At 37.4% G+C, this 21,645-nt stretch overlaps 2 long non-coding RNA genes and 1 pseudogene across 2 annotated transcripts in view; 1 reads left to right on the top strand and 2 right to left on the bottom strand.

Annotated features, from left to right (window-relative positions):
- Positions 1-21,645, bottom strand: part of LINC01189 (long intergenic non-protein coding RNA 1189) — a 69,529-nt gene that overhangs the window by 35,679 nt on the left and 12,205 nt on the right. The gene's annotated exons all lie outside the window — the stretch shown is intronic.
- On the top strand, positions 10,007-14,416 carry FGF7P7 (fibroblast growth factor 7 pseudogene 7; annotated as a pseudogene).
- LOC128966771 (uncharacterized protein FLJ76381) overlaps positions 11,487-21,645 on the bottom strand; it is a 98,522-nt gene continuing 88,363 nt past the window's right edge. The window contains 1 exon segment of the long non-coding RNA NR_185482.1: positions 11,487-15,188. This is a non-coding gene — a long non-coding RNA (uncharacterized protein FLJ76381).

Raw genomic sequence — 21,645 nt, 5'->3', positions numbered from 1 at the left:
GAGTCTCTAAAGCATTCTTCATTCTTATTCTTCCCCTTCCATCTTTTTTTTCCATGCAATTCGTTAAAGAAACTAGGACAGAGTCCACAGTGTAGATTTTTATGATTGTGTCATCACTGTGGTATCATTTAACACGCTACTCTGACCTCAGTATTTTCTGTGAAACCCACATGTCAGGGGTGTTGGGCAGATTTGTTTGCTTCTGGGTTTGTGTTTCCAACACTCAGACTCAGGACCTGGTAACAATCCCCTATAGCAGTTCGTAACTATTTGCTTGATTTTGACTGAACACCAGAGGGCAGTGCAGGTGGACACCAAGAGCATTGCTGTCAACACACAGAGGCCTGTGGGCACAGGGGTCCTGCACTGCGAGGCCAAAGCTCCCTTCTCTGCTCCTAAGCAATCCCTTTCCCTCCTCTGAAGGACAGCCACGTACTCTAGGTCCTAACCTCTGGAGTGCACTAATGACCAAGAGGTGCATGAGCACCAAATGTGAGAGGACAGGAGTCTGGAAACCTAGCACAGGAGTCTTCTCAGAACCTTAGGACATTCCTACTGTTGTGAGGGTAGGAGAAGAATGCCTAGCTAAGGAAACAAGTGTTTAGTGTCCAATGTGAGTAACTGCCATGGGGAAGAATAAAGCAGGGAAGGGCAAGAAGATGCCCAGGGTGGACAAAGAAGCTCTCATTGATAAAGAGACATTAGAACACACATCTGAAGGTGGCGAGATAGTCAGCCTTTCAGATATCTGGAGCAAGCTTGTTGCACTAACAGGAAAAAGCAGGTGCAAAGGCCCTGGGGCAGGAACGTGCTAGTTGTGTTTGAGGGGGGCAGCAAGCTGTTGTAACTGGAACAGAGAGAGAAGGGGGAAGATGGTAGTGAATGAAATCTGAAAAGGAACAGATTATGTACGATTTTTAGGCCATTATAAGGACTTTGGCTTTTACTCCTGTGAATCAGAAAGCTACGTGACTGGGGTGGGGTAGTGCTTTACTAAGAGGAGTGGCGCTCTCTGATAATTTTTAAAGGCTCACTCTGGTTGCTAAGTTACAAATACATAGAATGTGTCAGCTGGGAGATCAATGGGGAGGCGATTGCAATCATCTGGGGTGGCTGCTACAATCTATGTTAGAAACTTGCATGTTTCATGCCTTTTATTTTAGGCAAGTTCATCAGCATTTGCTTTTCAGATACTTAATGAATCCTTCAGTCTATTCAGAGAATAAGGCATGTGTTGAAATGATCAGTACACAGTATTAGAAAATGGAAAGTCATGAATATAATAACAGAGACGCCTTTAGGGGCAACGTGAGGTCAAGAGAGGAAGGGACTGCGGCCAGCTTGGCAGGTGAGCCTGGCATAGGACAGGCCTTCCTTGAGATGGTCACAAATACAGTTTTATCAGTTTTCCTTGTGATGGTCACAAATACAGTCTTATCAGTTTTCACAAATAAAACCTTACAAATGTTCACTAATAAAATGCTACAACATATCCTATACCATATGCCAATTTAAGATAGGTTTTACTCCAATGAGTTAGGTTATCTGTAAATAACACATGGTCAAATCCCATATGTCTGTGTAGCAAATACTTTCTCAGTGTCCTGTTGTTTTTAATCCAGCATGTTCCACCAGCCTGGCCTAGGCTAGGGCTGGCACCTAGATAGTCATTAGGGTAAGTGTGTGTTTGTTTTGGGGTGTGGATTTCTTTTGGGGTGTGTGTGTGTGTGTGTGTGTGTCTGTGTGTGTAAGACTCATTGGCTCTACTCCAGGCCCCCTCTATCAAAATTTCTGGAGGTGGGAATCAAGTGTGATACTGATTTGGAAACCACCAATTCAGCTCACAGTTTTCTAGTCCAGTCTGTAACAGCTGCCTTCATGACAAACTGAATGCTGAAAGCTGTGGAAGGTGCCGGTAAACAAAAATAGAGGTGGAGGGAAAGCCATTTCAGACAAAGGGGATAGAGCACTAAACAACATAGGAGTCAGACCGGATTGGTTTTGCAGTGACTTCTGATGGCCTTTGCAAGTGTTCCATAACTGGATTTGCCTGGAATGTGGGGTTCAGGGTCCTTGGAAGAGAGTAGGTAGAAATAAGGTTTTGGAGCGTGTGAAATTAGATTGTGGAGGGCCTCACATGTTGAGCAAAGGACACTAAAGTTTATTTTCTAGGTAATAGGGAGCCAACCAAAATTTTTAAAATGAATGATGACACCAGAGAACTATGGTTCAAGAACTCCACACGTCTGACAGTCGTGTGTAATAATAACTGTTGTGTTATGAGTCCAGAGATGAGAAAGCTTTCTGCATTCATTCAGGAGAGAGGGGGTTGGGTGCTTAAATAGGAATAGGCCACTGGGATGTGTAGGTTGGAATGAATGTGAGAGACAGAAGACGTGAACAGCAGAAGAGAAAGGACAAGGTCAAACGTGGCACTGGGGTTTTAAATACAGGAAATTGGGAGGATGAACCAGCAGACTTAGCAAGATACAGAAGAAAAAAGAGATTTAGGAAAAACGTAGTATGGGTCAGCCAGATTTGGGGATGCCGATGCCATAACCAACTATAACCAATGGAAGATGATTTAACACAGTTGTAAGTATCTTGAAGCCAATGGTCTGTTTAGATGGGAAACAGTCTTTCATTTTCAAATTTAAAACTTTATTCTTAAAATGTGTACATTTAATCCAGAATAATCTATGGATATGTATTGAATAAATGCGTTCATTTTTAAATTTATATTTGATTTGTAGTGTCCCATTTCACTATAGTTTTCTGAAGAAATCTCAGTTCTTTATGCAAACTGTATCATAATAGTCAAGAATTTAAGATTACTTTCGTGTTCAAGGTCCTATCTCCAATTATCCTCTTGTTTAACGTGATTGCCTTTTGACCTACTTTCCATCTTAACATTAACATTATATTTTTTAATTATCCTGAATCAAATTTCGATTTAAGAAACTCCAAAAATAACAAAAATTGGAAACAGCCTATAACATTTTAGGAAATCAAGAAATATATTTAATTGTAACACCCACTTTCATATTCCACAAGAGAAAAATAAAGCAAAGCCTGATCAAGACGTGCCTTTAACACAACTCAATCACCTTTGAGCCTTCATTCTTTACCAGTCTCTCTATTCTCTGTGCCTATTTTCTACTCTCCCTGAGCAGAAATTTAAGTGTCACATTTTGCCAAGGCCTCCATTACATGAGTAATGAGTGCTTACATATATTGATATCCCCTGATTTTCTGTTGGTGAAGTTTCCAGGAACATTCATTCTCTTGGGAGGAGTAGAGACTCAGGTAAAAGTCATGTCTCTTCATCTTCCATCCTTCAGAGATTACTGGTGGCCAGAACACCTATGTGGGAGAGTGGGTATGGGAAGTGGGGTGTGTGGATAAAGAAACTCTGTTCGGGAGAGGCTCCCAGGGATCTGTGAGTCAGAGGAGTCACCTATCTTTAGGGTTGCACAAATCTAGCACCTTCTATGAAAACTGCATTCACCCAGAATGTGAAAAGAAAAAAGGGATGGCTGAGAACTTTTAAAATTCAGCAACAGACACCTGCCCACAAATCAAAGAACCTCAGAGAACACCAGATGCTACTATCCTGTCATAAATTAGGTAGTTATTTTATTAAAATAAAAAGATAGGGCCGGGCGCGGTGGCTCACGCCTGTAATCCCAGCACTTTGGGAGGCTGAGGCGGGTGGATCACAAGGTCAGGAGATCGAGGCCATCCTGGCTAACACGGTGAAACCCTGTCTCTACTAAAAATACAAAAACATTAGCTGGGCGTGGCGGCGGGCGCCTGTAGTCCCAGCTGCTGGGGAGGGTGAGGCAGGAGAATGGCGTGAACCCAGGAGGTGGAGCTTGTAGTGAGCCGAGATCGCGCCACTGCACTCCAGTCTGGGCGACAGAGCGAGACTCTGTATCAAAAAAAAAAAAAAAAAATTGAGCAGATAATAGAGTTCCTATAAACAATCTCCATTTCCCCCCACAGTTCCTCCATTATAAATATCTTGCATTAATGTGGCACATTTATTACAATAGATGAGCCAATATTTATTTATACCATCAATTTATACTAACGTCCCCGCTTTGCTTTGTATAGTTCTATGAGTTCTGACAAATGTATATCGTGTATCCACTATTACAGTATTACGCAGAATAGTTTCACTGATTTAAAAATCCCCTGTGATTCAGCTTTTCATCCTTCTTCTGCTCTCCTCAAGGCCCTTGCAACCACTGATCTTACTGCCTCTAAAGTTTTGCCTTTGCCAGAATGTCATATGGCTGGAATCATACAGTATGTGGCTTTTTCAGACTGGTTTCTTTCACTTAGCAATATGTACTTAAGGTTCCCCTTGTCTTTTTGTGGCTTCACAGCTCAATACCTTTCATTGCTAAATAATATTCCAATGTATACGTGTACCATAGTTTGTTCATCCATTTACCTATTGGATATGTTGGTTGCATCTGGTTTTAGATGATACGAATAAAGCTTCTATAAATAGTCACGTTCAGGATTTTGTATGGACATAAGTTTTCAATTCAATTGGGCAAATACCTGGGGGCATGACTGCTGGATTATATAGCATGTTTAGTTTTTAAGAAACTGCCAAACTGTCTTCCCATGTGACTGCACCATTTTGCATTCCCACTAGTAATGAAAGAGTTTTGGTTGCTTCGCATCCTTGCCAGCATACAGCACTGTCAGTTTTTTGGAGTTTAGTCATGCTAATAGTTGTATAGAGGTATCTCATTGTTGTTTTAATTTGCAATTCCTTTTTAAATAATTTCAACTTTTATTTTAGATTCAGGGGGTTCATGTGCAGGTCTGTTACCTGGGTATATTGTGTGATACTGAGGTTTGAGGTATGATTGCTCCCATCACTCAGGTACTGCGCATAGTACCTAATGGTTTTTCAACCCTTCCCTCATCTACTCCCCGCCAGTAGTCCCCAGTGTCAGTTGTTGCCATCTTTATGTCCCTAAGTACCCAGTGTTTAGCTCCCAGTTATAAGTGAAAACATGCAGTATTTAGTTTTCTGTTCCTGTGTTAATTTGCTTAGGATAATGGCCTCCGGCTGCATCCATGTTGCAATTCCTTGATGATCTATGTTATTGAGCATATTTTCATCTGCTTATTTGCCCTTTGTGTATCTGTAGTGAGGTGTCCAGATTTTGCCCACTTTTTAACTAGGTTTTTTTCCTTATTGTTGTGTTTTCAGTGTTTTTTTTGTATATGTTGGATATATTGATATATTTTTTGCATATATGTATATGTCGGTGTATTTTAGTGATGTAAAATGAATGGAATCTATAGCCTTAAACATAATATAAATATATAATGGTTAAGATTTCCCACTCAACAATCCAGGCTTGACAGAAAATCATAAAATGTATTTAAATGTAAATGTTTTTTTCTTTGTTGATACTAGTTCTTAGTTTTAACATGCCGAAGAGGGTATATTTGATCAAGGACAAGATTAAATGTTCTGATTGGCTAACTATCAAACCGCTGCCTCCACTTTTTTTTGCAACTTGAAAATAATATTTAGTTATCATGCTAGCACAGCCATATTAATATATACCCCTTCAAAACTTTAAACATAAAGCTTTAACGGTTTCAGGAAAAAGAAATATTAATGATGCTGAGATTGGTGGACACGGATTCTGTGTAGTGAGACACTAAAAAGTAATTTTTCAAACAGGAAAGTTAAAGCACTTTAAAATCACAAAGCTATTGGTAATTAAAAAAAGAATTAGTATCAATTTCTGAAATACAAGATTAGAGGGACACCTAAAATTCTGAAAGGTCTTACAGAATTTTTTAAAAAAGTAATTGCAATTTAGATCAAAGTTCCCCACTTTTCATTCCAAGTGTGACACAGGTTTAAATAATAAACAGACAAAAAGTTTAGATAAATTCATGAATTATTGAACCAGATGATAAAAAATAGGGAAGCTATTTAGGGCATAGTCTCTAGTGTGTAAGGGTGACATCCTAAATAATAAATTTATGCTATTGTTGACAATATTGTTGACAAGGCTAAATGGTCAATGTGCTTGACATATTGCCTGGTTTTTCATGTTCTATTGCATGAGCTGATTCTCTCTCTCTCTTTTATTTATATTTTTGAACTCTGCCATTATGTTATCATGGACATTATGCCAACAATTTGATGCATCTATGTATATGCTTTAAATCTCTGGGAATAAATTTACTGAGTGCTACTTATGTGAACAAACTTCTCTTAAGCACAAATGGAAATCCACAAAGAAAGACAGCCTCTTCTATTTGTTTTATGTGAGGCAACAGATACACTGTAGACAAAAAGACCAAGTATAATTAACTCATATTGGTAACTAACAATATCTGCATATTACATATTTTTCTATTATGTTTTCTGAGCAACTTCGTGGCTTCTGATTTGGAGGGGTAGGATTTCATAGTTAATACTTTTTTTTTTTTTTTTGGTGAGATAGAGTCTAGCTCTTGTTGTCCAGGCTGGAGTGCAATGGTGAAATCTCAGCTCACTGCAACTTCCGCCTCCCAGGTTCAGATGATTCTCCTGACTCAGCCTCCCGAGTAACTGGGATTACAGACACCCAGCATCATGCCTGGCTAATTTTTGTATTTTTAGTAGAGATGGGGTTTCACCATATTTGCCAGGCTGGTCTTGAACTCCTGACCTCAGGTGATCCGCCCGCGTTGGCCTCCCAAAGTGCTGGGATTACAGGCGTGAGCCACTGCGCCCGGCCCATATTTAACACTTCTATAAATATTTGTGCATATTGAAAGGAACATTACTCCCCACACTGCAACTGAACAAATGAGTGATAATGTTAATTTCCTTATTCTTGAGCTTTTCTTGAATAAAAGAGGGTCGTAGGACATGGAACAAAATAGACTAGAAAATAGGGTTGATAAGGTACTGATTCTGCCAACACTGCTTAATGCTCTCCCCAAGCAATTGTCTTTTAGATATGTTGATTTCCCAGTGTGAATGGTATTTTTTAAATATGTCAAGCAATTAAGAATATAAGTCTATTCTCATCTCAGCTAAACGTAGAATCTTTACAAAGAATTTGTGGTATCCTTAACCCTAATATGTGGAGAGATATGATTAAAAATGTTCACCACCTTATTTTCATTTATTTATTTATTTATTTATTTATTTATTATTTTGAGACAGAGCCTCACTCCACCCAGACTGGAGTGCTGTGGTGTGACCTCGGCTCATTGCAACCTCTGCCTCCCAAGTTCAAGTGATTCTCCTGCCTCAGCCTCTCAAGTAGCTAGAATTATAGGAATTCACCGCCATGCCCAACTAATTTTTCTTTTTTTTTTTTTTTTTGGTGAGACAGAGTCTCACTCTGTTGCCTAGGCTAGAGGGCAGTGGCACCGTTTTGGCTCACTGCAGCCTCCGCCTTCTGGGTTCAAGCAATTCTCCTGCCTCAGCCTCCTGAGTAGCTGGGATTACAGGCACCCGCTACCACACCCGGATAATTTTTTGTATTTTTCGCCATGTTGGCCAGGTTAGTATTGAACTCCTGACCTCAAGTGATCTGCCTGACTCGGCCTCCCAAAGTGCTGGGATTACAGATGTGAGCTACCACATCCAGCCATCACCTCTTGTAAAGTGCAGTAAAGAAATAGTGGGCAATAGACAGGCAGGGGATAGAGGAAAATGTTTTGGGAGTGGGACAATATGAACTTATTGTCATGACAGGACCAAAAAGGGAAGACGTCTGCCTATCATAATTAATACTAACTCTATCAGTCAACATTTATGTTTTACAATTGTTCTGTAAAAGAAAAGCCAGCAAACATTACAGATTCTAGTCCCTAATAACTGATCAAGAAAGACACTCTAAGCTTGTGCATCAGCATTCTCTTTTTATCTAAAAGAAAATATATTAAATACAGGGAGGAATGGCAGGAGTAAAGAGACTTGAAGGAAAAGAAAATATTGACTTTTTAATGATATTTTACAATGCTAAGATCTTTAGAAACCAACTATTCCATATGTCCTTTAAATATTAGTTTGGTGCAAAGGTAATTACAGTTTTTGTCATAAAAGTAATGGCAAAACTACAATTACTTTTGCACCAACCTAACTGATACATTCATTCCATTTTGGAGGTATTGCAAATATGCTGAATCAATGAATTTCTTCAGTATTTTTCATTGTATTAGTACAAATTTAACCTAATAGTATTCTTCTGCATGTTATTTCCCTTTGTGCTTCCTTTAATGCAATGAAGTTGTAGTTACCAAATAGAGTGCCCTAAAAGGGCAAGGCTTGTCTGTGAATTGAGCCTAGCATAGAATTGGCTCTCAGTGAAGATCTGCTGAACGTTACATGAATGCATCAACGTCATAATCCTTCATGTGCTTGTAAGCAATTAGTAAAATTTTCTCTGGCCTATTCAGGCCTGTGTTCTTCAAAATTCTTCAAAATATATGGACGTGTTTGCTGTTTCTATTAGGTTTTAACTTCTGGTATCAGAAACCAGGGCTGTTTTTCTTAATTTGTGTCCTAAAACTACAGTAGGGTTGTATGCATTGTGATAATGCTTAATAAATATATAAAAAGATTAATATCCATTCATTTACATTTTCTTAATCAAACCCAATTTCTGGAGGAGTAGCTGTGAAACTCTCAACTGGACGAGCTCTGACTAGTGTTAAGTATAGGATATTGGGAAAAGGGCTTCTATATGCAACATATATGTGAGGCAAATGAGAAATATTAGCTGGGCTACATTAAATCCCAATGACATGAATAGAAATTTTATTATCCAGGTAGCAAAAATGAAGTCAAAAAAATAAATAAGAGAATGAAGTAAAGGTATGGGGCAAAACAATTAGCTTTTTCTTTAAGTCAATATTTTAGAAAATAGCTTTTGAAGGCCCAATCACACAGAAAATTGACACTTTGACTTTTCTTTGCACTGTGTTAGACATAGGTAAAAGGATGTCTCAGCACTGTACCTTCATGTAGAAAATGTAATTAATACCAAATTGCATAAAAGTACACTAAAATTTTAATTCTTACATCATTTTAATAAATTTCTTGAGATTTTACTTTATTTAGTGTGTCATTAAAACACAGGATTTAAGGAAGATATATATAATAAAGGAAAATGGTAAGTTACCATTCTTGTGTAAACACGTTTTGTAAATACTATTTCAACAAAGATTTAAAAGTTAATTACAAAGGTATAAAGTTATGAAGTATTATATAAACAGGATTCATAATTTTGTTTTAAATGGTCTTTTCATGTATCAAAATACTATCAGTTTAAAACAACCTTTTATTTTAAGGCAGTAGGCTCTGTTTACCATCATTTACAATTGCTTTAATTAGAATTTTCTTCACTTTCAGTATATTCAAGAGCTATTCTGTTGGCCATAATTTTTAAGATAAAGTTTATCCAAATAGAAAAGTAATTATATAATGATTAAGTGCCAGAATGTGTGGGTTCAAATTCCAGTTCTGCTACTTATCAGGTATAAGAATTTGGGCAAATTTCTTAGTTTCTCTGTGCTTCAGTTTCCTGATCTGTAAAACTGGGATAACAAGACTACCTGCCTCAATCTGCGGTTATGAGTAAATGAGTTAATACATAAGAGCAATGCAATAATCCTTGGCATGTGGTATGCGTTCAATAAACATTAGCTATTATTATTATAGTAAATTAGAAATTTAATTCTAGAGAATAAAAAGCTGAACTCAAATATGTAACTATTTATTCGATACAGGCACATTTTCCACAAAATAAAAAACCGTCAGTTTGCACTTGCCTTATATAATGACTATTCTGGTGTTTGTGTGTATCTCTTGTGGGTCGGGGGTCTTGGGCTGAGTAAATAATCACATTAAAAATTTTAAAGACTTCCGATTAAAACAGAAATAAGAACAAATGGCCATTCGTGGATCATTTGCAAAGCTGAACGAATACTTGACATGTCTTTCTGTGATTCCTTGCAGATATCATGGAAATCAGGACAGTGGCAGTTCGGATTGTGGCAATCAAAGGGGTGGAAAGTGAATTCTATCTTGCAATGAACGAGGAAGGAAAACTCTATGCAAAGGTATTGATAATTGATAGCTTAGGCTTAATTTTTAAAACTCATTTTTGTTGAAATATCTCACCATTCTGAAAAGTAAACATGGACTTAATCTATCTCCAACTGTATAATTTAATGATTTTATTAAAACACTTTATACTCAAATGTTAAGAAAAAATGTTTTCTGTGTGACTTTGGACAAATGGCTTGTTCTTTGGATTCTGGTTTCTTCATCTGTAAAATGAGTTGAATTAGCTGACCTCTAAGGAGCCTTCCAGCTCTAACATTCCATGTGCATTTTAGATATTTAAAATCCAAAATTTCCATTTGCCAGTATTAAAGCTCTTTTTGCTAAAGTTCACCCAATTTGCACATTGCTGACATGAAAATTCTTGGGAAAAAATCTTGAAATGTTTAGTTCATTCATCAACATCAATCTCACAATCATGGGCTTTGAACTGTAATTATTCACATTGTTCCCACTTCACTACAATGCAAAATATGTAACAGTTCATCCCACTGTAATAAAATATAATTGGCTTTCCTTTGTATTCCCACAGCTCAGCATAATGCCTGGAACAGGCTAATTATATAATGATACAGGTTTAATTGAATGAACAAATGGTTGCATGGATGAACAAACAAATTAACCTTTTATCTTCCATTACCACTGAAGACAGTGTACAAGTAAATAAAGAAAAGTTGTGAAACAAGTCTCTCACCTGAGGGAGGCAGAGGTTCTGCTAATTCTACCAAATTTCCAGTGGTTAAAGAATGAGTGATGTGGGAAGAGTAATTTGAGGCCTGTTACTTAGGGGGAAATAGGTCCTAATTTTAAAGAATAGTTGACATGAACTTCCAAAAAGCTACACATATTTCACACTAGCTGTGCATTATGTGGTGTCTTTATTTCAAATTTAAGATACCTTTTTATGCAAATATACTACATAAGTCTAGCTAATAAACCACATTAGGCCTGCTCAATCTGAGGGTTAAAAAAAGTTGTGTATGTTTCAATTCTACCAAATATTGCTGCTTACTCTTCGTTTAATTGAGCCTCTCTAAAAATCATTTGGATAATGTTTGTGTGTTTGTTTGTTTGTTTGAACAGAAAGAATGCAATGAAGATTGTAACTTCAAAGAACTAATTCTGGAAAACCATTACAACACATATGCAGCAGCTAAATGGACACACAATGGAGGGGAAATGTTTGTTGCCTTAAATCAAAAGGGGATTCCTGTAAGAGGAAAAAAAACGAAGAAAGAACAAAAAACAGCCCACTTTCTTCCTATGGCAATAACTTAATTGCATATGGTATATAAAGAACCAGTTCCAGTAGGGAGATTTCTTTAAGTGGACTGTTTTCTTTCTTCTCAAAATTTTCTTTCCTTTTATTTTTTAGTAATCAAGAAAGGCTGGAAAACTACTGAAAAACTGATCAAGCTTGACTTGTGCATTTATGTTTGTTTTAAGACACTGCATTAAAGAAAGATTTGAAAAGTATACACAAAAATCAGATTTAGTAACTAAAGGTTGTACAAAATTGTAAAACTGGTTGTACAATCATGATGTTAGTAATAGTAATTTTTTTCTTAAATTAATTTACCCTTAAGAGTATGTTAGATTTGATTATCTGATAATGATTATTTAAATATTCCTATCTGCTTATAAAATGGCTGCTATAATAATAATAATGCAGATGATGTTATATAAGGTGTATCAGACCTACAGGCTGCTGGCAGGATTTGTCAGATAATCAAGCCACACTAACTATAGAAAATGAGCAGCATTTTAAATGCTTTCTAGTGAAAAATTATAATCTACTTAAACTCTAATCAGAAAAAAAGAATATTCTCAAAAAAATCTATTACGAAAGTCAATAAAATAGATAATTTAACAAAAGTACAGGATTAGAACATGCTTATACCTATTAACAAGAACAAAATTTCTAATGCTGCTCAAGTGGAAAGGGTATTGCTAAAAGGATGTTTCCAAAAATCTTGTATATAAGATAGCAACAGTGATTGATGATAATACTGTACTTCATCTTACTTGCCACAAAATAACATTTTATAATTTCTCAAAGTAAAATTGAGAAATCTTTAAGTTTTTTTCAAGTAACATAATCTATCTTTGTATAATTCGTATTTGGGAATATGGCTTTTAATAATGTTCTTCCCACAAATAATCATGCTTTTTTCCTATGGTTACAGCATTAAACTATATTTTAAGTTGTTTTTGAACTTTATTATTTTGTTATTTAAGTTTATTTTATTTATTAAAAAAACCTTAATAAGCTGTATCTGTTTCATATGCTTTTAATTTTAAAGGAATAACAAAACTGTCTGGCTCAACTGCAAGTTTCCCTCCCCTCTGTGACCGAGACTAAGTCTAGCACACAGCACTTGGGCCAGCAAATCCTGGAAGGCAGACAAAAATGAGAACCTGAAGCAATGCTTACAGTAGATGTCTCACACAGAACAATACAAACATGTAAAAAATCTTTCACCACATATTCTTGCCAATTAATTGGATCATATAAGTAAAATCATTACAAATATAAGTATTTACAGGATTTAAAAGTTAGAATATATTTGAATGCATAGGTAGAAAAGTATCATATTTTAAAACTATGTATATTTAAATTTAGTAATTTTCTAATCTCTAGAAATCTCTGCTGTTCAAAAGGTGGCAGCACTGAAAGTTGTTTTCCTGTTAGATGGCAAGAGCACAATGCCCAAAACAGAAGATACAGTTAGGAATAAGGGGCCTTGAATGTCATGAAGGCTTGAGGTCAGCTTACAGATAACAGGATTATTAAAAAGATGAATTTCCACTTCCAAAGTCTTTCATTGGCAGATCTTGGTAGCACTTTATATGTTCACCAATGGGAGGTCAACATTTATCTAATTTAAAAGCTATGCTAACCATTGTGGTTTTAATTTCAAAATATTTGTCATTCAAGTCCCTTTACATAAATAGTATTTGGTAATACATTTATAGATGAGGCTTATATGAAAAGGCTAGGTCAACAAACCAATAGATTCATTTAATTTTCCTGTGGTTGACCTATACGACCAGGATGTAGAAAACTAGAAAGAACTGCCCTTCCTCAGATATACTCTTGGGAGAGAGCATGAATGGTATTCTGAACTATCACCTGATTCAAGGACTTTGTTAGCTAGGTTTTGAGGTCAGGCTTCAGTAACTGTAGTCTTGTGAGCATATTGAGGGCAGAGGAGGACTTAGTTTTTCATATGTGTTTCCTTAGTGCCTAGCAGACTATCTGTTCATAATCAGTTTTCAGTGTGAATTCACTGAATGTTTATAGACAAAAGAAAATACATAATAAAACTAATCTTCATTTTAAAAGGGTAAAACATGACTACACAGAAATTTAAATAGAAATAGTGTATATACATATAAAATACAAGCTATGTTAGGACCAAATCTCTTTGTCTATGGAGTTATACTTCCATCAAATTACATAGCAATGCTGAATTAGGCAAAACCAATATTTAGTGGTAAATCCATTCCTGGTAGTATAAGTCACCTAAAAAAGACTTCCAGAAATATGTACTTTAATTATTAGTTTTTCTCCTATTTTAAAATTTATTATGCAAATTTTAGAAAATAAAATTTGCTCCAGTTACACCCACTTAGAATTCCAGAATCTTAAAACTGTAAGGGGCCTCCATCCCTCTTACTCATTTGTAGTCTAGGAAATCGAGATTTTGATACACCTAAGGTCAAGCAGCTGAGTAGATATACAACTGTCACAAGAGTCTAGATCAGTTGGCACATGCTTTCTATACTAGATTATTAGTATTATTAGCTAATGGTCTTCTGCATTTTTTTGTTTTTTTATTTCTATTGAGATATAGCCTTTACATTTGTACACAAATGTGACTATGTCTTGGCAATGCACTTCATACACAATGACTAATCTATACTGTGATGATTTGACTCAAAAGGAGAAAAGAAATTATGTAGTTTTCAATTCTGATTCCTATTCACCTTTTGTTTATGAATGGAAAGCTTTGTGCAAAATATACATATAAGCAGAGTAAGCCTTTTAAAAATGTTCTTTGAAAGATAAAATTAAATACATGAGTTTCTAACAATTAGAAAGGAAAAAATTAAAATATGAAATGATAACAAAAGTAAACAAAAGATACTTTCAAAGCAGTGAACAAAACATTTTGACATAAGCCATAATATAAATTATAATATAAAAATATAAAAACCATAGTATAAATTGTCAATCTTTGAGTTGGCTATGAATTCAATTTAATGACAGAAGAGAAGGGATGCTGGAGGTAAATTCTTAGAGTTTCTATCTCATAGAGTTTGCTCTTCTGATTCTCTAGACTGCCAAAGAACATAAAGATGTACAAGGGGACCTAGCTGTAGTAAAAGCATTGCTATAACAACAAAAACTCTAAAACAGTGCCCCTCACGATTTTCTACTGAAATTTCTCTAACAGTAGAGGTATAAAACAAGAAGTTAGAGAATAATGCAGAAGGGGCCCACCACAGAAATCACATTTCTTTTCTGTTAAGACTCATGTGATTTTTGCATCTTACTCCATAATGTATTAGTGGTTGCGTTAATATGACAATGTCTGCAATTAAACACCAGTAAGCAAAATCGATACATCAGAATGACTTGCAGGGCTTATCATGCAGTTTCATTTACATCCCTATCCCACTGCCATTTACTTGAGCGTGAATGACACACGGGAGATTCTTTGCCTTCCATGATCCAACTTTACACATAAATAACACAAGGCTAAAGAAAACCAGAACTCAAATTCACCATGCATAGGAGTGATAACAAAAATATTTAACAGTCAGTATGGGTGATTACTGGCCAATCAGAATACGTCACTGATATATCAAAATGGATGCAGGCCACTGTGACTAACTTGTGGGTATCATTTCTATGATCACCCTAAAACAGAGTTGGGAAAATATCAATTAACTGGTCTCTCTGGTTTGAATTCTCAATATGTATCTTAATATGAAATAGCTCATTAAAACTTCATGTGTAACTATTTCAGCATTGTTGTCAGCTACTCTTTATTCCACTTCTGTACAGTATTTATTCAACCAAGCTGCTGCTTTCAATGAAGGTCACTTGTTCCTTCAGGGACACATGTACTCCCACCTATCCTTTAATTTTGAATGGTTTGTCAAGAAAATTTACTTTCTCTTGAGTTGAAAAGACTTGACAGGAAGCAAGAAATAATACGGTCCTAGCCTCTTTCCAGTAACATCTGATTTCTCCATTCTCAAACTACACTTCTCAGGGAACCAGATATTTACTCTCGTCTGGGAAGATGCCTCTTATGTTTTCCTTTTACTTCCTGGTTATCATGTGGTTGCATTTTCCAAGTTCTTATCATTGAATTTATGAGAGCCTATCCAAATTTATTTTCTTTTATTTTCTAATAATTGAAATGTGAGATGAAAATAACATTTCACTTATGAAAAACGCTTCTCTTGATGAATCCTTCCATGTGTTAGTTATCTATTGCTCTGTAACAAAGGTGTTAGTTATCTATTGCTGTGTAACAAATTAAAACTTAATGGCTTGAAACAAATATTTGTTTTCTCATAGTTTATGTGGCTCAGGAGCCTGGACGTGGTTCAGCACAGTGTTTTTGGTCAGAATTCCTCATGAGGCTGCAATCAAGGTGTAGACCAGGGCTGTTAGTCATCTATCTCAATATTCAACTCAGAAAGGGATCCACCTTAGATCCTCACTGGCTCTTATCAGGACCTATCACTTCCTTACCACATGGACCTCTCCATAGCATTGCTTACAACATTACAGTCTGTTTCCCACGGAGCAAGAAATCAGAGAGTGTGAGATAAAGTACCCAAAATGGAAGCCACAGGTTTGTTTGTTTGTTTTAATATATATAACCTAGTTTCAAAAGTGATGTTACCTCTGCCTACACTCATGAGGAGGGTATTATACAAGGGCATACATACCAGAAAGCAGGGATCACTGGAAGTCATTTTACAGGCTGCCTAATCCAAGTCATGAACTAGATGTTTTTAATGTCACTGCCATAAACTGGGATTCTACAGGGTCTAATGAGAGTAATTAATTCATGGCTTTCAGTGGGGATCCATTCAGCAGAGAAAGAGATGAAATATGTATATTCTCTGTGGAAACACTCTTGATTCTTCCTTGAGGGATACTGCGTGGTCCATTCCTACACAGGATAATTAAGAAAAGGTTTGAACCAATCTGGACTTCCTATTAGCCTGAGATGTGGCTACTTAGAACTCCCAATGTAGCTGGAAAACTAACAATATCCCTTTGCCTCCACATGAAGCAAATTACCCTGCCATCAGACTCAACATGAAGATAATCCTCCCTTCAGCTGCTCTACCTCAAGAGAAAAAGATCATAGATGCCAGCTGGAATTCCTCTGGGCCATAGAGTGTTTTATTCTAGATGCTGAAGGCAATCAGCCACCATTTACCCAAGACCATCTGAGAATAAGACCTAAAAAGACTTGAAAACAATTGATTTCAATGGTAGGTACACACTGGTATCCCCTGTTCTGTATATATCTACAGATACTTAGATATATACAAAACAGGATATATATATATATATAGAGAGAGAGAGAGAGAGAGAGAGAGAGACAGAGAGAGACAGAGAGAGAGACAGAGAGACAGAAAGAGAGAGACAGAGAGAGAGAGAGAGAGAGAAAGAAACACCTAGGCCCCAACTCAGGCCAATTACATCAGTGTATATGACAGGTGGCCCATGCAGTCGTATTTTAAAAATTCCCCAGAATATTCTAATGTGCCTCTGCAGTTGAGAACTAATTAGGTAAATGCAAACAACAACAAACACCAAAAAACCTCTTCAGAAACTATGCCTGCTTCTTCATCTTTGTCTCTTCTTTAAACACCTTGAAAGGCCTTATTCCCTTCCAGCCCCTCCTGCCCCTAGGTTTTCCTAGATGCTTCCGTATTTTCTGCTATGCACAACTGGGGCTCATAGGAAATGTAGGCACTAGAAAGAGAGTTACAATTGTTTTTGCATCAGAATGATTATGGAATAGAAAAAGGCATTTCATGCAAATGGACACCAAAAGCGAGCAGCGGTAGCTATTCTCATATGAGACAAAACAAACTTTAAAGCAACAGTAGCTAAAGTAGACAAGGACAGACAGTATATAATGGTAAAGGTCTCATCCAACAGAAAAATATGACAATCCCAAACATACATGAACCTAACACCGGAGCTCACAAATTTATAAAACAATTACTAGTAGACATAAGAAATGAGATAGACAGCAACACGATAATAGTGGGGGACTTCAATACTCCACTGACAGCACTAGACAGGTCATCAAGAGAGAAAGTCAACAAAGAAACACTGGATTTAAACTACACTTTGGAACAAATGGACTTAACAGATACATACAGAACATTTCATCCAACAACCACAGAATACACATTCTATTCCACAGCACATGGAATTTTCTCCAAGATAGACCATATGATAGGCCATAAAACGAGTCTCAGTAAATTGAAGAAAACTGAAATTCTATCATGCACTGTCTCAGATCACAGTGGAATAAAACTGAAAATCGACTCCAAAAGGAATCTTCAAAACCATGCAAATACATGGAATTTAAATAACCTGCTCCTGAATGAGCATTGGGTGAAAAACGAAATCACGATGGAAATATAAAAAATTTCTTCAAACTGGATGACACAACCTATCACCACCTATGGGATACAGCAAAGGCAGTGCTAAGAGGAAAGTTTGTAGCGCTAAACACCAATGTCAAAAAGCCTGAAAGAGCACAAACAGACAATCTAAGTTCACATCTCAGGGAACTAGAGAAACAGGAACAAGCCAAACCCAATCCCAGCAAACAAAGGAAATAACCAAGATCAGAGCAGAACTAAATGAAATTGATACAACAACAATAACAAATACAAAACATAAATAAAACAAAAAGTTGGTTATTTGAAAAGATAAATAAAATTGATAGACCATTAGCAAGATTAACCAAGAAAAGAAGAGAGAAAATCCAAATAACCTCACTAAGAAATGAAACAGGGGATATTACAACTGACACCACTGAAATATTAAAGGTTATTCAAGGGTACTATGAACACCTTTTGGCACATAAACTAGAAAACCTAGAAGAGTTGGATAAATTCCTGGAAAAATACAACCCTCCTAGCTTAAATCAGGAAGAATTAGATACCCCAAGCAGACCAATAAATCAAGCAGTGAGATTGAAATGGTAATTTTAAAATTACCAACAAAAAAAGCTGACGACCAGACAGAATCACAGCAGAATTCTACCAGACATTCAAAGAATGTCTTCCTTCATTCAAAGAAGAAATGATACCAATCCTTTCACACTATTCCACAAGACAGAGAAAGAAGAAACCCTCCCTGATTCATTCTATGAAGCCAGCGTCACCCTAATACCAAAACCATGAAAGGACGTAACCAAAAAAGAAAACTACAGACAAATATCCTTGATGAATACAGATGCCAAAATCCTTAATAAAATACTATCTAACTGAATCTGACAACATATCAAAAAGATAATCCACCATGATCAAGTGGGTTTCATACCAATGATACAGGAATGGTTTAACATATGCAAGTCAATAAATGTGATACACCAAATGAACAGAATTAAGAAAAACTCACACGATTATATCAACAGATGCAGAAAAAGCATTTGACAAAATCTAGCATTGCTTTATGATTAAAGCTCTCAGCAAAATAGGCATACAAGGGACATACCTTAATGTAATAAAAGCTATCTAGGACAAACCCACAGCCACCATAATACTGAATGGGGGAAAGGTGAAAGCATTCCCTTTGAGAACTGGAGCAAGACGAGGAGCATGCTCTCACCACTCCTCTTCAACAAAGTACTGGAAGTCCTAGCCAGGGCAATCAGACAAAAGAAGGAAATAGAGGAAATCGAAATCAGTAAAGAGGAAGTCAGACTGTCACTGGTTGCTGACGATATGACCTTTTGCCTTGAAAACCCTACGGACTCCTCTAGAAAGCTCCTAGAACTGATAAAAGAATTCAGCAAAGTTTCCAGATACAAGATTAATGGACACAAATCAGTAGCTCTTCTATAAATCAACAGCTACCAAGCAGAGAATCACATCAAGAACTCAACCCCTTTTACAATAGCTGCAACAAACAAACAAACAAACAAACAAAAAACAAAACTTAGGAATATACCTAGCAAAGGAATCAAAAGACCTCTACATTGAAAATTACAAAACACTGCTGAAAGAAATCATGGATGGAGCCAAGCACGGTGGCGCATGCCTATAATCCCAGCTACTCGGGAAGCTGAGGCAGGAGAATCGCTTGAACCCAGGAGGCAGAAGTTGTAGTGAGCCGAGATCACACCATTGCACTCCCACCTCGGCGACAAGACCGAAACTCCCTCTGAAAAAAAAAAACAAAAAAAACAAGAAAGAAAAGAAATCATAGATGACACAGACAAATGGAAACGCATCCCCATGCTCATGGATGGGTAGAACCAATATTGTGAAATTTACCATTCTGTTAAAGGCAATCTACAAATTCAATGCAATCCCCATCTGAATACCACCGTCATTCTTCACAGAATTACAAAAACAATTCTAAAATTAATATGGAACCAAAAGAGAGCCATGTAGCCAAACCAAGGCTAAGCAAAAAGAACAAACCTGGAGGCATCACACTACTTGATTTCAAACTGTACAATAAGGCCATAGTTACCAAAACAGCATGGTACTGGTTTAAAAATAGGAACATAGACCAATGGAACAGACGAGAGAACCCAGAAATTAACCCAAATACTTACAGCCAACTGATCTTCGACAAAGTACACAAAAACATAAAGTGGGGAAAGGACACCTTTTCAACACATGATGATGTTGGGATAATTGGCGAGCCACATGTAGGGGAATAAAACTGGATTCTCATCTCTCACCTTATACAAAAATCTACTCAAGATGGATTAAGAACTTAAACCTAATTCCTGAACTATAAAAATTCTAGAAGATAACACTGGATAAACCCTTCTAGACATTGGCATGGGCAAGGATTTCATGACCAAGAAGCCAAATGCAAATGCAATAAAAACAAAGATAAATAGCTGGGACTTAATTAAACTAAAGAGCTTTTGCATGGCAAAGGGAACAGTCAGCAGAGTGGACAACCCACAGAGTGGGACCCCTGACCCTGACCCCTGACCCCTATCCTCTGACCCTAACTCCTAACCCCTAACCCCTGACCCTTAACCCTAACCCCTTACCCCAACCCTCACCCTCACCCTAACCCCTAATCCCAAACCACTAACCTCTCTTAACCCCTAACTCTAAACGTTGACTCCTAACCCCTAACTCTGACCCCAACCCCTATCTCCAACCCCTAACCCTAAACTTAACCCCTAATCCCTAACCCTAACACCAACCTTAACCCTGGGTTCGTTACTACGTTTGTATTGACTATGTCAATGTTGATTATTATGATTGCTGTCTTAGGACTGCATGGCAGCGAGGGGATTGCGGATCTTATATTAATATTTTTGTATTGAGGCAGTGCATTAGCATTACAGGTGCTTGTTACATGAGCAATGGGGGTGTCATATTTTGGGTGTCATGTCTGCATTAGGAATGCTGCATTTGTCTTCTGAGGCTGTGGTGTGGATCTCGCACTGCGGCCGCCTCGCCTTGGCTGGGGAGAACCTCGGTGGGCAGGATTCAGAGGGGCTTTTGGTTTCCCGTTTTCCACACTGAACCCTTCTAACTGGTCTCTGACCCTGATTATTCAGGGCTGCAAACAGGAAGGATTTTATTCACCGGGGATGCGGCCCGGAGTTGTCCCAAAGCGAGGCAGTGCCCCCAAGGTCTGTGCTGAGAACGCTGCTCTGCCTTCGTGGTGTCCCCCGGGTCTGTGCTGAGCAGAACGCAGCTGCGCCCTTGCAGTGCCCCCGGCCCGCCCGCCCGGCTCTGTGCTGAGGAGAACACTGCTCTGCCTTTGCTGTATCTCTGAAGTCTGTGCAGAGGAGAACTCAGCTCCACCCTCGCAAGAGGGTGACTGGGTAGCTGATGAATGGCAGCCCCTCCTGCCTGAATGCCCTCTATTGCTGGGCACTGCTGCACAGCACCTTTTTCCTGGCCTTAATACTTAACAATCTTTTAGAGAGCTCCATGCCTAACACTGAATCTTAAAATGTGACATTCTTCCTATAAAATCAATACTTAAACCACATTTTGTAAATTCATACCAAAATAGAAACCCAGGAAAAAAAGCACCCCTTTTGTCCTCTATTTTAATAATAAGAGGGAAAGGGGGCTGGGCTAAAGGGAACGGCTGCCCTTTCTGTGTGTGGAAAGCTATAATTTAAATATGCACACCAGATTTTCAAGCAGCACACTCTAAAGCATCAGCCCTGTTATTCAGATGATGGAGTTTGCAGACTTTCTGTTTGCCCTCCTCTTGCTTTTCCCACCTTTGGGGCTTTTCACTGTCCCCAGAAACC

This window comes from Homo sapiens, chromosome 9 (assembly GCF_000001405.40).
Source record: "Homo sapiens chromosome 9, GRCh38.p14 Primary Assembly".
NCBI classification, from domain to species: Eukaryota; Metazoa; Chordata; class Mammalia; order Primates; family Hominidae; genus Homo; species Homo sapiens.
The sequence above is the reverse complement of the archived record's forward strand: the minus strand, read 5'-3'. Positions and strand labels throughout refer to the sequence as shown.